At 41.5% G+C, this 22939-nt stretch overlaps 1 protein-coding gene across 39 annotated transcripts in view, besides 2 other annotated features; it reads left to right on the forward strand.

Annotated features, from left to right (window-relative positions):
• Positions 1-13952, forward strand: part of CD44 (CD44 molecule (IN blood group)) — a 93232-nt gene extending 79280 nt beyond the window's left edge. For 37 of the 39 annotated variants that reach the window (NM_001440324.1, XM_011520482.3, XM_005253232.4 and 34 more), the window contains 3 exons: positions 866-937; positions 3204-3282; positions 10679-13952. In NM_001440324.1, the coding sequence (NP_001427253.1) occupies positions 866-937; positions 3204-3282; positions 10679-10883 (356 nt within the window). In that variant the 3' untranslated portion in view covers positions 10884-13952. Of the gene's footprint in view, positions 1-865; positions 938-3203; positions 3283-3924; positions 4870-10678 lie in introns of those variants that run through there. The other 2 variants (NM_001202557.2, NM_001001392.2) reach the window with 2 other exon arrangements.
• Positions 19582-19651: an enhancer, noted in NCBI's record as "active region_4620". NCBI's record gives its function as "activates an Ori minimal core promoter by ATAC-STARR-seq in GM12878 lymphoblastoid cells {active_cell/tissue: GM12878}" and the evidence as "EXISTENCE:reporter gene assay evidence [ECO:0000049][PMID:35858748]".
• Positions 19662-19731: an enhancer, noted in NCBI's record as "active region_4621". NCBI's record gives its function as "activates an Ori minimal core promoter by ATAC-STARR-seq in GM12878 lymphoblastoid cells {active_cell/tissue: GM12878}" and the evidence as "EXISTENCE:reporter gene assay evidence [ECO:0000049][PMID:35858748]".

Genomic DNA, 22939 nt, shown 5'->3' on the forward strand with positions numbered 1-22939 from the left:
CCCGAGTAGCTGGGACTACAGGCACATGCCACTATGCCTGGCTAATTTTTGTATTTTTAGTAGAGACGGGGTTTCACCATGTTGACTAGGTTGATCTCAATCTCTTGACCTTGTGATCCGCCTGCTTCAGCCTCCCAAAGTACTGGGATTACAGGCGTGAGCAAACTCCTTATTTTATAGTGTTTATGTTGGCTCCTATGATGCTATTGGATGAGATTTTCAGGTTCCCTTTGGGCTTTCTGGAGCGTGTGAGTCCCCTGGGGGTCTTGTTAAAATGAAGATTCTGATTTGGTAGCTTTGAGATGAGGCATAAGATTCTGCATTTCTAGCGATCTCCCCAGGTATGCCTGTCCTGATGGTCTGAGAGCCACACTTTGAGTAGCAAGGTCCTAAATTAAAAATAGAAAATAACAACCACACACAACTACCAATACCGTGTATTTCTTCAAATCTCTGCAAAATTATGATGAACAGCATTCTGTTATCCCCATCTTACGAGTGTGAAAAGGGAGACTTGGAGAAGGTAGATTGACCCAGCACACATGGCTAGTTAGCAAGGGACAGCGGTGAGACTTAAATCCAGGGTTGTCCAGCTCTAGACACCAAAGTCCTGAACACTGTGCAACACTGCTGCTGAGAATTCTCATGTTCCTTGACACAAAATAACATTACTAAGCCTTAGCCTTAATCAAATGAGGTGGGGGGGAAATCTTTTGTGTAATGCTTTATAAACATCTGCAGCTTGAATCCATAAATGGCTTCTCAGTGATTCAGAATGTGGAGAGCTGCCCTTTATGCAGCTCCACAAGGAACTCATGGTTACACATTTCAAACTTTGGTTGAGAGATGTTGTTTTTCCCCTTAGGACACTCACATGGGAGTCAAGAAGGTGGAGCAAACACAACCTCTGGTCCTATAAGGACACCCCAAATTCCAGGTGAGTTTCAAACTTTGAGGCAGAAAAACACACTGAAAGCAGCTTTCTCAGAATGTCCCAGCAAGGACGAAGAGACTCATTTGAAAGCACATTCTCCACAATGCCCAACATATGAATCCAATTGCTCCTCTTTACAAGTTAAAGGATGAATGAGAATACTACACCCTCTTGGTAGGAAAAGATGGAATAGTCTTTTCTTCCTGGGTTCTGCAAACTAGCTGAGCTCATACTCAGATCTGTCCCTGGCCTGTCCCAGAGAAGTGCCATGTTAGTTACTAAAGCTTCCTTCCTAAATGAATGATCACCAAGAGGACCCCATGTCATACCTAGGTCCTTTCTATCCCAATCCAATTTCCACTTATTTCTGGGGTCCAAGGTGAAGCATGTAATTTTCCTTTTACGATTACAGACAGGGAGGAGCTACAAGAGGCATTTATGTTAGATGGAGTGAAAACTTTCTTTTGGTTCCCCAACTAATTTTTTTTTGGTCGAGGGACCGCCTGCTGATGTGGACAGAATAAACTTTTCAGAAAGTATGCATGTGCAGTGAGGAGGCTGGGACACCTGGTTCTCCTGAGCATCAAGACAAGGCATTTGTTGCAAATTCTTTATTTGACTTGGAATTAAAATTGATTTGTCATAGAGAATTACTAAAGGGAAGGGTTCTCCTAAGGTTGTAAATTACCCTTTTAATTCTCTCCTCTTCAGAGGTCTCCAGACTGAGCCTCTCTTGGGGAAAGAGAAGAATGTGGCATGCACCGTTCTCCTTTGCCCCAGCTTGCCTAAGCACACCTGAAGACAGACCAGACAGAGACAGGGGTGGGCTGTCCCAAGGGAGAGCACAGGGGAAGCCTTAGCTGTCATCAGGCAGCAAGATTCTTCCCAGCTCCAGTGACAGTGCAGGTGGGATATCTCAGGGCTGGAAACCAGGGCCACAGTGGGCAGGAGTAGAAAGGAAGAACAGAAATCGGGCCCTCCTGTCAGTCTCCCCCACTTCTGACTCTACCTCCCTCTCCAAACTCATCTAAACCAGGAAAAGGTGAGGCAAAGGTAGTGCTGAGCAGGAAATCAGAGATAAACCAAAATTTCCAAGAAGAAAACAGATAATGAGACTTTCCATGCCTCTTCTTTCTCAAGCCCTGGTTCATTGCACACATATACAACCCACTTTGCAACTGAATTTAGTGGAGTTGTCAAGTCATATTTTAGTCCTAAAAGAGCCTGATTTCAAAATGTGTAGAATATTAATCCACAAGTGATATATAATTATTGAAAACATTTGAAAAAATACAACTAAATAAAATAATGGAAATATAAATCAATTATTATCAATCTCACCATCCAGAAATACCATGGTTACCATTTTAATATACGTCTTTTTTTTTTTTTTTTTTTTTGAGATGGAGTTTTGCTTTGTTGCCCAGGCTGGAGTGCAGTGGCGCGACCTCGGCCCACTGCAACCTCTGCTTCCTGAGTTCAAGCGATTCTCCTGCCTCAGCCTCCTGAGTAGCTGAGATTACAGCATGCCACCATGCCCAGCTAATTTTTGTAGTTTTAGAGATGGGGTTTCACCATGTTGGTCAGGCTGGTCTCAAACTCCTGACCTCGTGATTCACCCACTTCAGCCTCCTAAAGTGCTGGGATTACAGGCGTGAGCCACCGCACCCGGCCTTTCCTGTCATTTTAAAATGTAAAATATATACCAAAATGTGATTACACCTTACACGGTGTTTAGCAAACATTGCCTACTGGTTAACCATGGCTTCCATGTCATTGAATATTTCCTCCTCATATTGTAGTGCGTAATGCAATAGATGTACCCTAATTTATTTAACCAATCCTTTATTGCCTCCATTTTTGTTTTTTAATACAATGTAAGGTGGATAGGTGGATGCTCTTATACAGGAAAAAAATGTTCCTTTCAAAAGAAGCCTACATTTCCTTTTATATGTTTAATAATATTATACCAAAGGCATCTACAAGATTCAACAAGTCATCCTGTCCTTTTTTAGAAACATAGTTCTCCTGAAGGGACTTGAAAATCCTGACTGATGATAAAAGATTAAAGCAAGAAGGCTGTTGGACAAATACCTTCAGCAAATTGCTCTTCCAGAATTACCTGCCTATTGGCTGGACCTATTGGCCAGACCCCCCTGCAGCGCTGACTGTGGTGCTTGTTTCAACTAGGTCAATTATAAAGTGCATTTTTGTTTTTACAAAGTGTGTCTCTGAAGCTCACGCATGTCATTTAATTTACTCATACCAGAATGGCTGATCATCTTGGCATCCCTCTTGGCCTTGGCTTTGATTCTTGCAGTTTGCATTGCAGTCAACAGTCGAAGAAGGTAAGGGGCTGTCCTGGGGGCTTTCAACTTGGAAAGGGCATCATTTAAACCTGGGCTTTATATCCTTGCTGCTCAGAGCGTAGTCCCTGGAACCAGCAGCCTGGGTACCCTGGGAGTTTGTTGGAAATGCACAATCTCAGACCCAACCCCAGACCTCCTATGGCAGAGTCTGCATCTTAACAAGTTTCCAGGGATTCATGTGCATGGTGCAGCTTAAGACATCTTTCTCTGCCCCGGTTTTTAGAGACAGGAGACACCTGTGATTGTTTGGCTCATCACTTTTAGGTAGTGGTTGAATCCTTTGTGATTTTACATGTTTTTTAGGGTTAAACCTCATGCAGACTCTGTCTGATGAAAGTTATGAAGTATCTCACCAGGAAGGCACACAAAAGTATATACTCATTCATTGATTTGTTAAATATTTATTAAATACATTCACAATGCACAAATATCGTATAAAGATTCAGTGATTCATCATCCCCTGTAGCCTCTCTGAGGCCCAGGGAACCTTTAAGAACTTTTACCAGAAGGAAGTATTGGCCTTGTGCTTTTGTTTGTCGTTTGTTTTTTTATTGGCCTTGTGCTTTTGTTTGTTGTTTGGTTTTTGTAATGATATCATTTTCTATTTTCTGGGAACTGTAGTTGAAGAGATTCAGGTTATAGCATAAGAAGAGCACTGTTTCATCGTCTTCTTGCTGTTAGGAGGTCTATGAAGCAGAGAAGAACTTTCCTTTGGAAAACAACTAAATGAAGACAGTCACCTCGCTAGAACTGACACATGGGCTGTTTTTATATTCTTGAAGGCCACTCTCTCCCTACCTGAACCAAGACCTATAGGTTTACATGTTATTTACATTTTATATATAATATATATATATATATATACACATACATTATATATACACAATAGTAATTCTAGCAACAGAGGAAATGACCTTTAACAGGGGTATAAATCTAAATTTATAAAAGTATAAATCTAAATTTCTTACCCAAGACACTTTAAAGATACATTATTTTTCTCCAGGACGTAATTCATAGGAATATTAAGCCTTTTGTAAATGTCCCTTTAGATGGTTTCTCATAAGGTAAAAGAAACTTATTTCCAAGCAGGACCACCTTTATTGTGTCCCCAGATCACCTCACAGGGCAGAAAAATGCCCCTCAGTCTGGGAGAAGACCTAGAGAGAATTATGGACTCCTTACTGGTTTTTGGAAAGCAACCAACAGCTAATTCCAACACCATGGGCAGCCCATACAGTCTCTAATTATCTGAGAAAATCAAATGATGCTGTTACAATAATTACGCTGGTACAAGTTAATAAAAGTGCCATGTTACAGTCAAACAGCTATGTTGCTATCTATACCATTGAGGGCATAGTTTTAAAAAGTAGTTATGCTACCTGATTGTATAAGGAACAAAACTGAGAGAAAAAATCTAAAAGGCCGCCTATGATTGAATGGAAAGATTTTTTTTAGTTGAATTTAAATAATGTGACTTGGGGGAGCCTTTACAAAGAGTCTTTATACCTCCCTTCAGCTTCCTCATTTTCCCTTGGATTACTTTTGCTCAATTAAATATGAATTTCCTATTGTGTGCAATCAGCCCTTTATTGCCAAGCCCTAGAATGCACCACTTTTGCTCACATACACAGTCCATAAGCTTTGCACATGTCACCATAGAAACGCTGGCATGGATGCTGTCGACATTTAGGGAGACCTCGGAGAAGCATCTCAGCTGTCCCTAAGAGCAGCTGGAGTCCATACATTGGGGCTGGGTATCTCCCCCATCGTCTGTGTCTTGTCAGCAGCAGACAGCAGAGAAGGGGCCTCATTGCTGCCCTCTCCCTCCTCCCAAGACCAGCAGTCACCCTGGCAACCGGCAAACAGGGACACACAGGGTCCGGCACAGCGAGTATCTCACCAGGAAAGTAGCTGCTTGGATGCCATAAATTACTATGTCCTGATTTGATAATTGAAAACAGATTTGCCACGCAGCTAAAAGGTGGTGAACAGCTGTACGGGCCCCTTAATGGGCTCTGTGATTCTAAAGCTGTCAACCCATTTCTAATCCCCTTCAAAGGCTGAGGCTTTTCTGCTTTGAGTGTCACATTTAAGAGAAAGAGATACAGAATCCTATTTTCATCAGAGAAAGTTTGGTTGAAAATGGGGCCTCCAATAGGTGTTCATTTATTCAGCAAACATCTTTTGAGTGGCTCCTGTGACTACCAGCCCTGGCAAGGAGAAAGAGAAGGTAAAAAACAAAAAGAGTACCACCCCTTTTCTAAAAGAATCTTGAGGTTTAGTGGCAGTATTGGCCTCTTGAATTTGAATTGGCTAATATTTATTGAGAACATTCCCTGTGCCAGACACTGTTATATAAATTATGGTTAAAAGACAAAAGTGGAAAATCATTAGTCTCTGAAGTTGACATACAAGGATGGGTCATGGGCTTGCATGATGAAGTGATCTGTGAGTCACGTTGTCTTAAAGATGCTGGGTTGGGGGTTCTATTACTTCTTTAGGTTTTTCCACCCCTGCCATCATCCAAAACAGCTTTCTTTGCTGTTCCTCATGTCACCTGACTCCTTGAGTTACAGCTCTCCAAGAGAAATCATATTTTATTCCCTTTTCATGAGAGCACATAATTATTTTAGGAGTCAGTTGGGTTGATAGATACTGCGTGAGGCTCCAGAGAAGATTTTCCTTTAAAGAATCTATCTGGGCCAGGTGCAGTGGCTCACTCCATGTGCAGTGGCTCACTTTGGGAGGCCGAGGCAGTGGATTAGTTGAGCCTAGGAGTTCAAGACCAGCCTGGGCAACATGGCGAAACCCCATCTCTACAAAAAACACAAAAATTAGCCGGGCATAGTGGCGCATGCCTGTGGTCTCAGCTGCTCGGGAGGTTGAGGTAGAAGAATCGCTTGAGCCCCGGGAGGTGGAGGCAGCAGTGAGCCATGATAGTGCCACTACAGCCTGGGCAACAGAGTGAGACCCTGTCTCAAACAAACAAGCAAACAAACAAACAAACAAAAACCTATCTTATTTGTCTAAAGAGGAGAAAAAAACATGAGAACTTTACTATGTTGCTTGTACATAAAAGCTGTTCATCAGCCTTCACTTTAATGGGAATAATCGTCTTTTCTATAAACCCCAGCAGGCAGTCACCCACACTCCAATCAGTAGGTCTTCTCTACGCATCGCCATAATTTAGAAATATTTTCCTTCTCTTATGCTACAGTCTAGCTCCTGCAATCTGAGCTCACCCAACCTCGTCCTGCTGTCTAGAACAGTGCTATGCAATAGAACTTTCTGTGATGATGGAAATATTCTATACCTCCACTGTCCAATATATAACTACTAGCCACAACTGAGCACTTGAACTATGGCTAGTTCAACTGAGGAAGTGAATTTTTAATTTCATTTCATTGTAATTAGTTTAAATTCAAATAGCCAAATGTGGCTGGTGGCTACCATATTGGATGGCACAGCTCTAAAACAGTGCAAAATAAATCCCTAAATATCGTTAAGGATTGTCAGGTAGAAGAGTCATGAGATCAGTTGCCAAGTTACCCACCTAAATCTTTTAAGATAAATTCTGCCATGCCATAAAAGTATGTTACCTGGCTTCTAAACCCCAGCCAGCCTGCCCTCTCTTTCCTGGTGAGGTCTCAGTCTGCCTCCTTCCACACTGTGTGATTGCTGTGTGCTCAGCTAATGCCTGAGATTTAAGGGAAGAGGAGATAAAGGTAAGACACAGATCCATGAGGATCTCTGATCTTCAGAGTCAGAAGATCCAAGCTGTGGCTGGGCGCGGGGGCTCACACCTGTAATCCCAGCACTTTGGGAGGCTGAGGCAGGCAGATCATTTGAGGTCAGGAGTTTGAGACCAGCGTGGCCAACATGGAGAAACCCTACCTCTACTAAAAACACAAAAATTAGCCAGGTGTGGTGGCGGGTGCCTGTAATCCCAGCTACTTGGGTGGCTGAGGCAGGAGAATTTCTTGAACCCAGGAGGCAGAGGTTGCAGTGAGCCGAGATAGTGCCATTGCACCCCAGCCTGGTTGATGAAGTGAGACTTTGTAAAAAACAAAACAAAACAAACAAACAAACAAACAAACAAAAACAGAAAATCCAAGCTGTGATTCTTGCAGTGCAGTGCCATAACAAGCTGTGAAACTTTGGACAATACTTCTTGGACTTGGTGTCCAGTTTACATAATGAAGAAGCTGGGCTAGATGATCTCTGAAGCCCCTTAAGGTCTAGTGCTCCTTCTTAAATTCTTATAACTAGGAATAACTTAAAAATTAGAATTTGTCTCTTAAAAGCACTTATTAGACGCCTAGAGCACTGAATATTGGAATGAGTTATTTATGAGAATCATCCTACCCTCCTGAAACTACTCAGACAGATAGAAACACATAAATCCAAAGGGAAATGCAGGCCAACCAAAAACCAAGCACAATATTCCTGTGTCCTATAGGTCAAATGTTATCCACTGTCAAGATCAGCTTCGTTTAGATTAACAACATTAATCCCCACCCACTCCCATGCACAGACATATTTTTTATGCTCATAAATCACTTTCCCACAATATTTCATTCCATCCCTCAACCACCCATTGGTTAGGGAAATGGGAATTACTTTAACTAGACAACTTTCCTCCAAAGAACACAGGGGCCAGGGAATTGGAAGTAACACAAGCAGTATTCTACCTTGAGCCTTTTAAATCCTCTTCATAGTAAATAATAACGAGGTAGGTGGAGGCAGCCAGGAGAAACAAGCAAAATTCATTTCATATGGCTTTTGTTATATTAACAATTATAGATAGCACTTGAAAGCTTACTGTGCTCCAGATACTGTTCTAAGTGTTAACCCAAACCTTAGTTTCCTTACCCCGCATAAGAGCAAGAATAACAATTATTTCCTTACCCCTCATAAGAGCAAGAATAATAACAATAGACTCATTTATTTAGTGACAGTCTCTGTTTCAAGGGCTTTTCACAATCCTATGATATTGCTACTCTTAGTAACCTGGTATTATTGATGCAAAACTGAGGCTCAGAGAGGTTAAGTGAGTTGCCCCAGGTCACATAGCAGTAAGTTCTCAAAACCAGGCCTTCCGAGCCCCTTTTCTTCTTTCTTTTTTCCTTTTTTTTTTTTTTTTTTTTTTGAGACGGAGTCTTACTGTGTCACCCAGGCTGGAGTGCGGTGATGCAATCTCAGCTTACTGCAACCTCCACCTCCCAGGTTCAAGCAATTCTCCTGCTTCAGTCTCCTGAGTAGTTGGGATTCAGCCACGCACCACCATGCCCCCATGACCGGCTAATTTTTGTATTTTTGGTAGAGATGGGGTTTCACCATGTTGGCCAGCTGGTCTCGAACTCCTGACCTCAAGTGATCCTTCTGCCTCAGCCTCCCAAGTGTTGGGATTACAGGCATGAGCCATTGTGCCTGGTCTCTTTTTCTTTTTTGAAACAGGGTCTCACTCTGTCACCCAGGCTGGAATGCAGTGGCACAAACACAGCTCACTGCAGCCTCGACTTCCTGGGCTCAAGTAATTCTCCCACCTCAGCCCCCAAAGTAACTAAGACTACAGGCACATGCCACCACAGCCGGCTTATCTTTGTATTTTGAATACAGACTGGGTTTTACCATGTTGCCCAGGCTGGTCACAATCTCCTGGGCTCAAGTGATCCACCCGCCTTGGCCTCCCAAAGTGCTGGGATTACAGGAGTGAACCACTGCACCTGGCCTCCAAGGCCCTTTTCTTGACCATGCATCCTGCTGGACTCCATCTGTATTCCTGGTCCCCATGAATCTGTTTCACAGTTCAAGCATCCTTCCCCCAACCCCTCATCAAGCCTTATGCTAGAGGAGACAGGATCTACCTCCTGTTGAGGAGGTATAATTTTTATTTCCCCAAACAAGAGCTTAAAGTTTATGGCCTTGGCAGTCCTACAGGGAATGGTCCATGATCATGAATAATAGAGGCTTTGTCACTATTACTCCAAATATCCAGAGGCAAAGTGAACAATTCTGACTTCATACTGTTTCCAAATCTCCAGAGGGCTGGCAGCATTGACAGAGCCAGGCAGAGCCCAGGCTTTGGTCATAAAGGCCTGGATTTGAATATTGGCTCTGTCATTCTTACTTTCTGTGTGACCTCGAGCAAGTTATTAAACCTCTTTTGGCCTCAGTTTCCATTGCTGTATTATGGGAACAATAGCTGCTTTGAAAGAGTGTTGTAAGAATTACAGAAAATTACATGTAAAATGTCTGGTATTCAGGAGGTAATCTGCTTCCCTGAATCCCCATCTTGCTTGTAGTTGTGAAGCTATGCAACTTTCCTTCCTCTAAGCATAGTCTGACTCGTATATGTGTAGTAGTGATATGTTACAGGAAAGAGGAAGCATTGCATTAGGCTGGGTGGGGTGAAGCAATGGACAGTAACCAGGGAAAAGATCAAGGTCGTACTCTTCCATAGCAACTTTCTTTTGCGTTTGGGTCTTAAGTAATGTTTGAGAAACCTTAAATTAACGAGAATAATTTGTCTTATGTTATTAAACTTCCTATATCAGGGTTGTATGAGTTAGCCAATGTTAGGAAAACATCACTATGGCCTTATACCTCTAGAAAAATGTTGTTTTATTCTTCTCGATACATTCAGTAATAATGCTGACAAGGCCGACAAAGTGTTGACTGGGAGAGGAAGTTATGGGACTTTCTGGAATATACAAATCAGAATGATTTACAATCATCATGTTGATGGTTTATCTAAATCTGCAGAAACTGCTAAAATGCTTAAAAGAGGCAAACATTTCCATTGTGAAGTAAGATAGAAAGAGAATCAGAACTTGAGAGTCAGACAGACCAGGGTTTGAATCCTCTTTCTTACTTGCTGAGTTACTTGGGGGAAGTTACTGAATTTTCTGATCCCCAAGGTTTCTTCACTTGGAATATAGAGAATATAATAATAACACCGGCTTCCTGGAGTCTTAGTTGCTGGTTTGCAAACTTGACTGTGCAGAGAAGCCCCTGAGGGGTTGCAAATTTGACTGTGCAGAGAAGCCACAGATCCTGGGCTCCAACTCTAGAGTTTTCTGATTCAGCAGGTTTGGGGTGGGGCTGAGAATTTGTATTTCTAACAGGTTCCAAGATGATGCTTTTGCTGCTGGTCCAGGGACCTCACTTTGAGGAGTGCTGGTTGTTATGAGTCTGGTTGTTAAGTGCTGGTTGTTAGTTGTTAAAGTAGAGAAAACCCCTAGCACAGTGCTTGGCACACACTAAAGCCATCATAAACCATAGTGATCATCAATGATGGTGCTCAGTAAGGATGATGATCTGATGCCTGAGTCACTGCAATCTTTCTGATATGGTACATTTTTTAAATTATTAGGTGTGGGCAGAAGAAAAAGCTAGTGATCAACAGTGGCAATGGAGCTGTGGAGGACAGAAAGCCAAGTGGACTCAACGGAGAGGCCAGCAAGTCTCAGGAAATGGTGCATTTGGTGAACAAGGAGTCGTCAGAAACTCCAGACCAGTTTATGACAGCTGATGAGACAAGGAACCTGCAGAATGTGGACATGAAGATTGGGGTGTAACACCTACACCATTATCTTGGAAAGAAACAACCGTTGGAAACATAACCATTACAGGGAGCTGGGACACTTAACAGATGCAATGTGCTACTGATTGTTTCATTGCGAATCTTTTTTAGCATAAAATTTTCTACTCTTTTTGTTTTTTGTGTTTTGTTCTTTAAAGTCAGGTCCAATTTGTAAAAACAGCATTGCTTTCTGAAATTAGGGCCCAATTAATAATCAGCAAGAATTTGATCGTTCCAGTTCCCACTTGGAGGCCTTTCATCCCTCGGGTGTGCTATGGATGGCTTCTAACAAAAACTACACATATGTATTCCTGATCGCCAACCTTTCCCCCACCAGCTAAGGACATTTCCCAGGGTTAATAGGGCCTGGTCCCTGGGAGGAAATTTGAATGGGTCCATTTTGCCCTTCCATAGCCTAATCCCTGGGCATTGCTTTCCACTGAGGTTGGGGGTTGGGGTGTACTAGTTACACATCTTCAACAGACCCCCTCTAGAAATTTTTCAGATGCTTCTGGGAGACACCCAAAGGGTGAAGCTATTTATCTGTAGTAAACTATTTATCTGTGTTTTTGAAATATTAAACCCTGGATCAGTCCTTTGATCAGTATAATTTTTTAAAGTTACTTTGTCAGAGGCACAAAAGGGTTTAAACTGATTCATAATAAATATCTGTACTTCTTCGATCTTCACCTTTTGTGCTGTGATTCTTCAGTTTCTAAACCAGCACTGTCTGGGTCCCTACAATGTATCAGGAAGAGCTGAGAATGGTAAGGAGACTCTTCTAAGTCTTCATCTCAGAGACCCTGAGTTCCCACTCAGACCCACTCAGCCAAATCTCATGGAAGACCAAGGAGGGCAGCACTGTTTTTGTTTTTTGTTTTTTGTTTTTTTTTTTTGACACTGTCCAAAGGTTTTCCATCCTGTCCTGGAATCAGAGTTGGAAGCTGAGGAGCTTCAGCCTCTTTTATGGTTTAATGGCCACCTGTTCTCTCCTGTGAAAGGCTTTGCAAAGTCACATTAAGTTTGCATGACCTGTTATCCCTGGGGCCCTATTTCATAGAGGCTGGCCCTATTAGTGATTTCCAAAAACAATATGGAAGTGCCTTTTGATGTCTTACAATAAGAGAAGAAGCCAATGGAAATGAAAGAGATTGGCAAAGGGGAAGGATGATGCCATGTAGATCCTGTTTGACATTTTTATGGCTGTATTTGTAAACTTAAACACACCAGTGTCTGTTCTTGATGCAGTTGCTATTTAGGATGAGTTAAGTGCCTGGGGAGTCCCTCAAAAGGTTAAAGGGATTCCCATCATTGGAATCTTATCACCAGATAGGCAAGTTTATGACCAAACAAGAGAGTACTGGCTTTATCCTCTAACCTCATATTTTCTCCCACTTGGCAAGTCCTTTGTGGCATTTATTCATCAGTCAGGGTGTCCGATTGGTCCTAGAACTTCCAAAGGCTGCTTGTCATAGAAGCCATTGCATCTATAAAGCAACGGCTCCTGTTAAATGGTATCTCCTTTCTGAGGCTCCTACTAAAAGTCATTTGTTACCTAAACTTATGTGCTTAACAGGCAATGCTTCTCAGACCACAAAGCAGAAAGAAGAAGAAAAGCTCCTGACTAAATCAGGGCTGGGCTTAGACAGAGTTGATCTGTAGAATATCTTTAAAGGAGAGATGTCAACTTTCTGCACTATTCCCAGCCTCTGCTCCTCCCTGTCTACCCTCTCCCCTCCCTCTCTCCCTCCACTTCACCCCACAATCTTGAAAAACTTCCTTTCTCTTCTGTGAACATCATTGGCCAGATCCATTTTCAGTGGTCTGGATTTCTTTTTATTTTCTTTTCAACTTGAAAGAAACTGGACATTAGGCCACTATGTGTTGTTACTGCCACTAGTGTTCAAGTGCCTCTTGTTTTCCCAGAGATTTCCTGGGTCTGCCAGAGGCCCAGACAGGCTCACTCAAGCTCTTTAACTGAAAAGCAACAAGCCACTCCAGGACAAGGTTCAAAATGGTTACAACAGCCTCTACCTGTCGCCCCAGGGAGAAAGGGGTAGTGATACAAGTCTCATAGCCAGAGATGGTTTTCCACTCCTTCTAGATATTCCCAAAAAGAGGCTGAGACAGGAGGTTATTTTCAATTTTATTTTGGAATTAAATACTTTTTTCCCTTTATTACTGTTGTAGTCCCTCACTTGGATATACCTCTGTTTTCACGATAGAAATAAGGGAGGTCTAGAGCTTCTATTCCTTGGCCATTGTCAACGGAGAGCTGGCCAAGTCTTCACAAACCCTTGCAACATTGCCTGAAGTTTATGGAATAAGATGTATTCTCACTCCCTTGATCTCAAGGGCGTAACTCTGGAAGCACAGCTTGACTACACGTCATTTTTACCAATGATTTTCAGGTGACCTGGGCTAAGTCATTTAAACTGGGTCTTTATAAAAGTAAAAGGCCAACATTTAATTATTTTGCAAAGCAACCTAAGAGCTAAAGATGTAATTTTTCTTGCAATTGTAAATCTTTTGTGTCTCCTGAAGACTTCCCTTAAAATTAGCTCTGAGTGAAAAATCAAAAGAGACAAAAGACATCTTCGAATCCATATTTCAAGCCTGGTAGAATTGGCTTTTCTAGCAGAACCTTTCCAAAAGTTTTATATTGAGATTCATAACAACACCAAGAATTGATTTTGTAGCCAACATTCATTCAATACTGTTATATCAGAGGAGTAGGAGAGAGGAAACATTTGACTTATCTGGAAAAGCAAAATGTACTTAAGAATAAGAATAACATGGTCCATTCACCTTTATGTTATAGATATGTCTTTGTGTAAATCATTTGTTTTGAGTTTTCAAAGAATAGCCCATTGTTCATTCTTGTGCTGTACAATGACCACTGTTATTGTTACTTTGACTTTTCAGAGCACACCCTTCCTCTGGTTTTTGTATATTTATTGATGGATCAATAATAATGAGGAAAGCATGATATGTATATTGCTGAGTTGAAAGCACTTATTGGAAAATATTAAAAGGCTAACATTAAAAGACTAAAGGAAACAGACTCAGAAGTCTCTAATTTAAAAGAATGGGAGGCTGAGAGGGACAGAACTATGCTTATCTGGCACCGTCTGGGTAATTTAGAGGAACAAAGTCAAAGGTATCTGAGGTGGCTGAAGCCTCACACTCATTTTATTTTTTAAAAAAGCAAAAACAAAATGGGTTTCCATCAACTTGAAAGTCTTCTTTTGGAGAAAATCTGGTTTTCTATGAGTGATGTGTGGTTCACATGTTTCAAACTAAGTGAGATACAGTGAAGTGTTAGTTCTTTTAAAGCCAAGAACTACTCCTGGACTTCCAGTTAAAGAGAGGAGAGTGTACATACCTTCATTCCCTCATGTAAGCCTCTAAAAAGAAAATAAAGAGATATTTCCAGACGGAATCAACCAGTGGAGTTAAAGAGATTGGAAGAAGAGACAAGAGCAACAAAAACTTGAAGCTGAAAAGTGATAGCTGATTGGTAACTGAATGAACAAGTCTGGAAAAGCTGACTCCTAAGCCTGCAGTGTGGAAAATTGAGAAACAACCAGACTTATGTGACAGAACCATCAAAAGGCTCAATAGCTATTCTGGAAATGAATGGGAAGATGAGGCTAAGATTAGGGGGACAAGCTTAAAGTCTATGTAAGAAGCAGTTAGAACTCCAGGTCCCCTTCCTTACTCTGTGTAACTGAACACCGTCCTTTCCCAATCTCAGCAAAAGACCAGAAGTTTATTTTCTGGAGACAGGGAAATAGAGAGTCTCTGGTTGAAGTCCAACAGCACGTACACAGTTGACATTAGAAATACCACACTGAGAGCCGGGCATGGTGATGCATGCCTGTAATCCTAGCACTTTGGGAGGTTGAGGAGGGCGGATTGCTTGAGCTCAGGAGCTTAGAGAATAGCCTGGGCAACATGGCAAACCCTTGTCTCTATAAAAAATATAAAAATTAGCCAGGTATGGTGGTGTGTACCTGTGGTCCCAGCTACTCGGGAGGCTGAGTTGGGAGGATCATGTTTGAGCCTGGGAGGTCAAAGCTGCAGTGAGTTGAGATTGCTCCACTGCGCAGCAGCCTGGGTGAAGAGTGAGACCCTGAAAAAGAAAAGAAAGATAAGAAAAGAAAAGAAACAAGAAAAGAAAAGAAACAAAAAAAGAAAAGAAAGGCCATACTGAAAAAGTGAAACCATGCTTAAAGAGTGTTGAGATTCCCTATCCTCCTCTCCCAGCTTGGCTCTCAGAATGCTGGGAGCTAGGCATATGTTCTCCAGGCAGAAGCTCAGTGTTGCTGGGGAATCTTATGAGCCTGAGAGAAAATTCTAAAAATATTAACATGGTAGTTCCCCAAGGAAATGGCCCAAAAAAAGCGATCTGCAATGAAGATGGCATCTCAAGCCCCACCAGGCACCCAGAAAGCTCAGTCAGCTTTCTGTAGCTTACTCTCACACATGAGCTGTTACCAAGGAGCACCAGACATTTGGAGAAAGCATCTAATATTAAAGTCAGGGACTACAAAAAACAGGAAAAAGTACCTTGACAGAAAAGAAACTGCTTAGAGAAGGAAACTTTTTCTAATAAAGGTCACCAATACTCTCAGTAAGATAAGAGGAGATGGTATATCTATAAAACAAAAACACAATGCCAGGATAAAAAGGAACATATAGAGAACACCTAAAAAAGAAGCTTTAAAAATGTAAACTTGAGAGCACAAATTTAAAAATAAACCTCACAGAAGGTTTGCAAGATAAAGTTAAAGAAATACCCTCAGAAATACAGCAAAAGCAAATAAATGGAAACAGGGGGGAATACATTGGGAAGACTGGCACCCAGTCCAGGAAATTTAACATGCAAATGCTGTAATCAAAGTCACAGGAAGAGAAAACAAATAGGAAGAACTCATCCAAGAAAAAAATCAAGAAAACTTCCCAGAACTTTAAAACATGAATATCTTGACTAAGGACAAGGTGAGTACTTAGTAAAATGAATAAAAACAGACCCACACTAATGCATATTATCTTAAAAATTCATGACACCTGGGGCAAAGAAATGATCCTATGAACATCTAGAAAGGAAAAATACATACATGGAGGATCAACAATCAGAATAGAATCAGATTTCTCAATGGCCACATTGGAAGATAGAAGACCATGAAACAGGGCCTCAAAATACTGAAAGAATTATTTCCAAGCTAGAATTCTAACTTAGTTAAGCTGCAAATTAAGTATAAGGATGGAATAAAGAGATTTTAGGTAATCATAGTCTCCAAACCTGCTCACCCATTCACAGGCAACTCCCAAAGGATGTACTCCATCAAAACAAGGGAGTTACCAAGAGAGGAGAGGACATGAGTTTCAGAAAACAAAGTAGAGGGAGTTCTTAAAATGATGATAAAGGGAGATCCCAAGATGACAGCTGTACAGCAGGTCTAGAGAACACTTAAAGTTGGAGTACTGACTAATAATTAAAACAATCAATGTTTTGCTTTTATTGACCTCTAATTAAAAAGAAAATTATTTTTTGTTGTATTCATTAACTACTGATGCATTAAAAACTGTTCCAAAATTAGTCGCTTAAAATAACAAGCATGTATTTATTTCTTATGCATCCACCAGTTAACTGAGTACTTCTGCTGATCTTGGCAGGGCTCACTTGAGCATGACGGGACTCATGCATTTGTGTGTGTGATTAACAAACAGGTCAGCTAGAAGCTGTCTGATTTCGGACAGCTTCATCTGGGATGATTGGGGTCTTTTTCCATCTGACTCTTACATGCCTCCAGCTGGCTGGTCCAGGCCTGACAGGGTTCCAAGTAAGAGCACATGCTCACAGGTCCTCTTGAGGCCTAGGCTCAGAACTGGTGCTCTGTCATTCCACCATATTCTATTGACCAATCAAGTTACGAGAGCAGCCCAGATTTTAAAAGAAGGGAAATAGATTCTATCTCCTAATGGGAGAAGCTGCAAAGTCACACTGCAAAAAATATGGTTACAAAAAAGCCAATTATCAGGGCCATTAGTGTGATCAAGATCTACGATAGACATGTTGAAAGATTCTTGTGCTCAAGGGCACCTCTCATGTTTATGCTTAAAATACACTCACCATTTGAGCCATATTGGCAATGGCATTAACTTAGAAAACCATGAACAACTTTATAAACCCCATGCTTATTGGAAAAGGAAGGAGCAAAGTCATGTGTAAATGTGTTTGGGAGATTGCTTGGTATGGTAGAAACAGCATGAGCTTTGGGATCAGACAAATTTTGGGTTTTAATACTGATTCTACCACTTACTTAACTGTGAAACTCTGTTCACACATCTTAAATATTTTGAGTCAGTAAAGAGACAGTAAAACCTTCATAGGGTGGCTATGAGGATTAAATTTAACAAGTACGTGTCAGTGCTGGGGTATATTAGGTCCTCAAAAATATTAATTCCTACCTGCCATCACCCACATATGCACAGTAGGTACTTAACTTCTTCCTTCACCATTTCCTCCAATGTTCTGAACTCTAACCAACTTTTAAGTGTGAATTGCTATTAACTTACAGTGGCTGGAGACAGATTATTTCAGAATCTGAAGCTCCCCATGAAGAAAGCCCTTCAATTTTAGTTGAAAGGTTTTTGCTTTCAAAGCAAGGCTAACAAGCAGGGAGTCCAGGAAGCTAATAACTGGCATTCGTTGATTAAATCTTGGCCATCTAGGTTGTGGCTGTAGGTTAACCAAAGTTGGGCATCCACCCAAGGCTTTGATCGTCACCTCCAGGAAGTTGTCTTGCCCCACCCCTATCCAGGATGAGCTCATTTTCCCCTCTGTGGGTATAACTCTTACCTTGTCCATATGTCATTGTAGTTCTTACTTTGCAATTTCATTAATCCGCCCATGAACCTGTCTGTTCTACTATATGATGAGGTGTGAGGGTACGGAGAAATTCATTATGGTCCCCCAAACCAGGTAAGTAGAAAGTGGTAGAACCAGGGATAGAGCTCAGCTCTCTCCAAAGTCTCTGGCTTAACATGCCTGAATTGTCTATTGTCAGAAGTTTGGTAAACTGAATTTGCTGAAGTTAAGACATCATCTCCAAATGTTGCAAACCAGGTCAGTATTCCAGAGCTCCCTGTGCCTGGTGGAGCCAAAGGAGGCTTTCAGAAACCACTGAAAAGATTTGGGGATGAGTACACTCACCATTTAGACCACATTGGCAATGGAATTAATTTAGGAAACCATAAACAACTTCATAGATGCTGTGCTTATTGGAAAGGGAAGAATCAGTCATGTGTAAATGTGATTTTTGCTGTGATGCCCGGGGCAAAGGCTCAGTGGAGAAGAAAGTCTGGCTGGGCATCCTGGCCTCAAGCCCCATTTCTTGCCTGTGTTGACACCTGGTCTTGAACACCAGTAGTTTGCCTGTCAGGGCCGCCCATAACCCGGCTCCTCAATCCTGCCCCATTAGGCTTCCAGACTGCTGATCTCATTACGTGGTGACTACTGTTTTCCAGAAGTCTTGTCTAAACCACTTCCTCCTTCCTCTCTCCCGAAAGAGGAATAATAAACCTCAGAAGAGGAGGCTAAGGTTTAGCTTTTAAAAGGTGATATTTAAAACAAGACTCTCAGTTCAAATTCAACCTCTGCCATTTACTTATGTATAACCTTACACGAATTATTGAACAGTTCTGTGCCTCGGTTTCCTCATCGGTAAAGCAGGAATAATAATCTCTACCGGAAAGAATGCTGGGGGGTTAAATGAGATAATATCTGTAAAATGATGGAATATAGTAGACGCATATAGGTTTCCTTCCCTCATTTCTGCTATCTTAATCACTTTTGTGTGAATACACAGTAGGGGTCTAGAAAGAATATGAACCATGATTTGGGAGAAGTCAGAGGTGTTCCAAAAATTTCTGAACCTCTCCCAAACCCTTTTAAGCACTGGGGTCTGAAAAGCCTACCCTCTCCCACCCTAAGATTTCCAAATAGTATCAAAAAGAAGAAGAGATTCCCACTCCTGTTTTCTGGGGAAGGGTGGAATATGCAGGTTTATTATTGCCAACATCTATAACACAAAGGCTCTGCCAGAGCCAACCTTCAAGGTGACCCCTAGATAGGGAGAGAGAAGAAATGAGATTGAAATTTCAAGGGCCTAGCTCTGGAGATTCTGAAGATCCTTGACCTTGGGAACTCACCCATGCAGAAGTGGAGAGACAGGTTTTCAATAATAAAGGCTAAGGGCTTCAAATTTCAGCTTGGGTTACTAGAGTTCAGTGAGAGATTTACTTTTTATTTTCGCCTCTTCTAGGATTCTTTAAATCTCATTAAGAAATGAAGAGAGAAATGTGAAGAAAAGCTGTCAGAGGGGTAAACTGTCAGAGGGATGCAAAGAAGAGTAAGATTTCAAACAATTGTTCTGAAAGAAAGTTAGTAGCTATTTAATAAGGACTGTCTATGCATATAGCAGATATTTAAATCATAATAAGTATAAAGTAAACTCAAAAGCGTCTCAATAAGGACAGCATCTCTCTTCCAAACCTCAATGGGTTTTGCTGGCTGCACTTCCAGGGCAAGTTGTCTTGGCCACACTTTACTTCTCTTCCACTCTCTCAATCCCTTTCACTGGGCTTGGAGGCACAGCAACTCAGAACTACAAAGTCTGGTCTGGGCAGCAGAGTCATTGGCTGCGCTGTACTCTCCCTCAGGGCAGTGGCAAGCTGGGACCTCTCTCAATAGGCAAGGGACCTCCGACTCCCTGTTTTAGATCACTTCCCCCTTGGACAAAATTTAGACCTTTGTGTAAAAGCTGACTGAGAAAAGTGCAATGTGTTCATCTGTCAAGCCAAGGATGAGAGTAATGAAAATTTTCCCATCAAGGTTCACGTCCTTTGCAGAAACTTCGTTTTCAACCATCTTGTTGGCCTTCTCTGCCCTGTTGATAATGCGCCCCCTAGTGGATGCTTTACAACATGCCCTTTGTCTTCGTAGAAACTGAGTCCTTCCGCCTGACTTCCGTTCTCGAATCCTCAAGGTAAAACCAGAAAGAAGAGGGTGAAGGTGGGCATCCTTGCACTCAAGGCTTAGTGGGGAGTGGGAATGGGAATGGAACTGGGTTGCCTGAGTTGGGACAAACGGTTGGGGAATAACTGATGGTCCACGTTTTCTTTTTAAACTACATTTTGTGTTTTGAAAAGGATTTATAGATCATGAAAAGAAGGAAACATTCATTAGTTGCAATTTAAACGTCATTTACTGAATATCTACTATATGCCAGGCATTGCGCCATTGCTGCGCTACAGATCCTTGTCTGAAGGACACAGATAATTGTAGCCAAGAACCTGCTATGACAGAGGGATAGATAGAATATTGATCTATAATGGCTGAAATTGAGCATTTGCTATCTACTTGGGCACTGTCTTAAGCATGTTGCATGTGTTAACTAAATTAAGTTATTTAACCTCTCTGTGGTTTAACAGGTAATCGTAGAACATAGCTTACAGAGTTATCAGAACTAAACAAGATAATACCTGAAAGATCTTAAAACAGTGCCTGGTACAGACATGCTAAAATAAGAAAACGGAAATGATACTCTGCACAACCTTGTGAGATGAAGTACCATATTATGTTGCATCTACAGATGGGGAAACTAAGGCAGAGGAAGCATAGTCACTCTGCTAGTAACTGGCAGAGCAGTCTGCCAATGTAAACAGCCCAGACCTAGAACATGCTCTCTTAACTCCTATGCCACACTGCTTCTGCCTGAACATACTGACTCTTTTAACAGGAATAGTTTTCATTTCAGTTCTTAAAGAAGGCTGGCATCAAAATTAGTGAGCTATTAAACAAGTGTCAAAATTATTGGGGACTGTAAATCACTTTATGTCTATTAGTTGATTCTAAGTGTGGCACAGATTACTTGTTCATTTGATGTTTGAGGAAAAGTTTAATAATATGCCAAACTTTGGTTCTCAGTTTTCATTTACAAAGAAGCTCTTGGCTAAAGAAATTTCCTAAAAGAATCTAGGACTACTCAAACAAGAGACTGGCTTATTTTCTGCCTTTTATTGTTCCTTAAAAAGAATTCAACATTAAAAATACAAAAGTAATTGTCTACTTCATTTCTGTAGAAAGGTAGACAATAAGACATCCATTTTCTAGAAAATTCTTTATTCCCAGAAATTTTATGCTAGAAATGTTTTCTGTTCCAAAAAATATCATCTAATCTCGTTGATGAACCACACAAAGGGATTACATTTTAAGTCTTATCATTGTGACTGAATGAACTGAGACTTCCCCTCTGCCTCCAGGGTTTAGGGAAGTACGACTTGGACAAGATATTCTTTATTGTCAAATAACAATGAGGTGTCTGATAAACTATCTCAGAGGCAAGGTGGGAGAATGCTCTTTTAGCATAATAAGTCCAGGGTATTTAATTCTGCTAGTAAGAGTGTCAAAATGAGTAGGAGAAAATGGTTTATGTCATACAGGTTAGAACAGAGAGTTTCTGAAAGAAATTAATCCTGGAGGTGGTGAGATGTGCTTGATTTTAGGTAACCCAGGGGAAACCCAGTGTGGTAGTATCTTTTTGATGCTGCCCACCACTCCCCTCTCCACCCCCGCCTCCCCACCGCCAAGCTCCCAGAGACAAGCTCTCACCCTTGTGGACTCAAGTTATCCCTTCTCCCAGTGGAGCAACTATCACTTGAAGGAGGACAAAAGCAGTTGGCATCCAACGTGGAAGGCTAGGAAAGCTGAGGGGACCGAAAAAGCTGAGACAGGCATGAGCTGGTTACAGAGGCTCTTGGACTTACAATGGGGCCATATTCCTATAACACATCATAAGAAGTCAAGAATGCATTTAATACTGGCATAAGCCCATCATAAAGTCAAAAAAATTTAAGTCAAACCATCATTAAGTTGGAGGCTATCTGTATTTCTGTGGGAAGGGGTTGTGATTATAAGGAGAAAGGGAAGGTTGTGGGGACGCCAGAGATAGATGGGGTTAAAGGAAGAAAGATGAGGGACAAGAATTAAAAGAAGGGATGGACACGGCGGCTCACACCTATAATCCCAACACTCTGGGAGGCCGAGGCAGGTGGATTACTTGAGGCGAGGAGTTCGAGACCAGCCTGGCAAACATGGCAAAACACCATCTCCACTAAATATACAAAAACTAGCTAGGCATGGTGGTGCACATCTGTATTTCCAGCGACTTGGGAGGCTGAGGCACGAGAATTGCTTGAAGCTGGAATGCGGAGCTTGCAGTGAGCGAGATAGCGCCACTTAACTCCAGCCTGGGCAACAGAGCAAGACTGTCTCAAAAAAAAAAAAAAAAAGGAGAGGAATATCTCTTGCGAAGGCATGCACATACACACACCAGCTTGTGTGATTCAGGGGTAAGAAAACCTGGTCCCTTTCCTCCTATTTCACCATTACTATCATTATGCAAGGCTTTAAAAAATCAGTAGCTGAGGCTGTAATTTTCACATTCCTTGTAATGTCCTTTGCATCTAGAAGATCACCTGGCACATGGATGGTCAGTCATGTATGTTGAACAAATGCACAAATAATAATAGTAACAGACCTCGTACGTGATCAAAAAAAAAAAAAAAAGAGGAATTAACTCACTTGTTGTATTCCAGGGGCTCTTCCAGGGTATTTGAATGGAGATAAAATGTCTGCTTACTTCCTATCTAAGTCATAGCCTAGAACTAGAGCTGAGAATATATTCCTCAAGCCAGCTGCTAAATAGCTAGTAGAATGGCACCAAGGTGCCAATGTGGACCTAGCCAGGGTGTATATGAGTTTCTTCTAATGAGAGGGGGGTACTGGAGGCAGTTAAACATTGACCTGGAGCTGCTTGCTGGGAAGCAGCGTGAAGTGTTGCTTCCATTTGAGAATGAATATTCCATCACAGAATTCCAGTTAAAGTCAACAGATTGAATATACTCATTATGTATTCTCCTTCCTAACACTTACTCAAATGATCACAAATGCATCAAAATAATGTAGACTCACAAAGAGAT

The sequence above is a fragment of the Homo sapiens genome, chromosome 11 (genome assembly GCF_000001405.40).
Source record: "Homo sapiens chromosome 11, GRCh38.p14 Primary Assembly".
Lineage (NCBI taxonomy): Eukaryota > Metazoa > Chordata > Mammalia > Primates > Hominidae > Homo > Homo sapiens.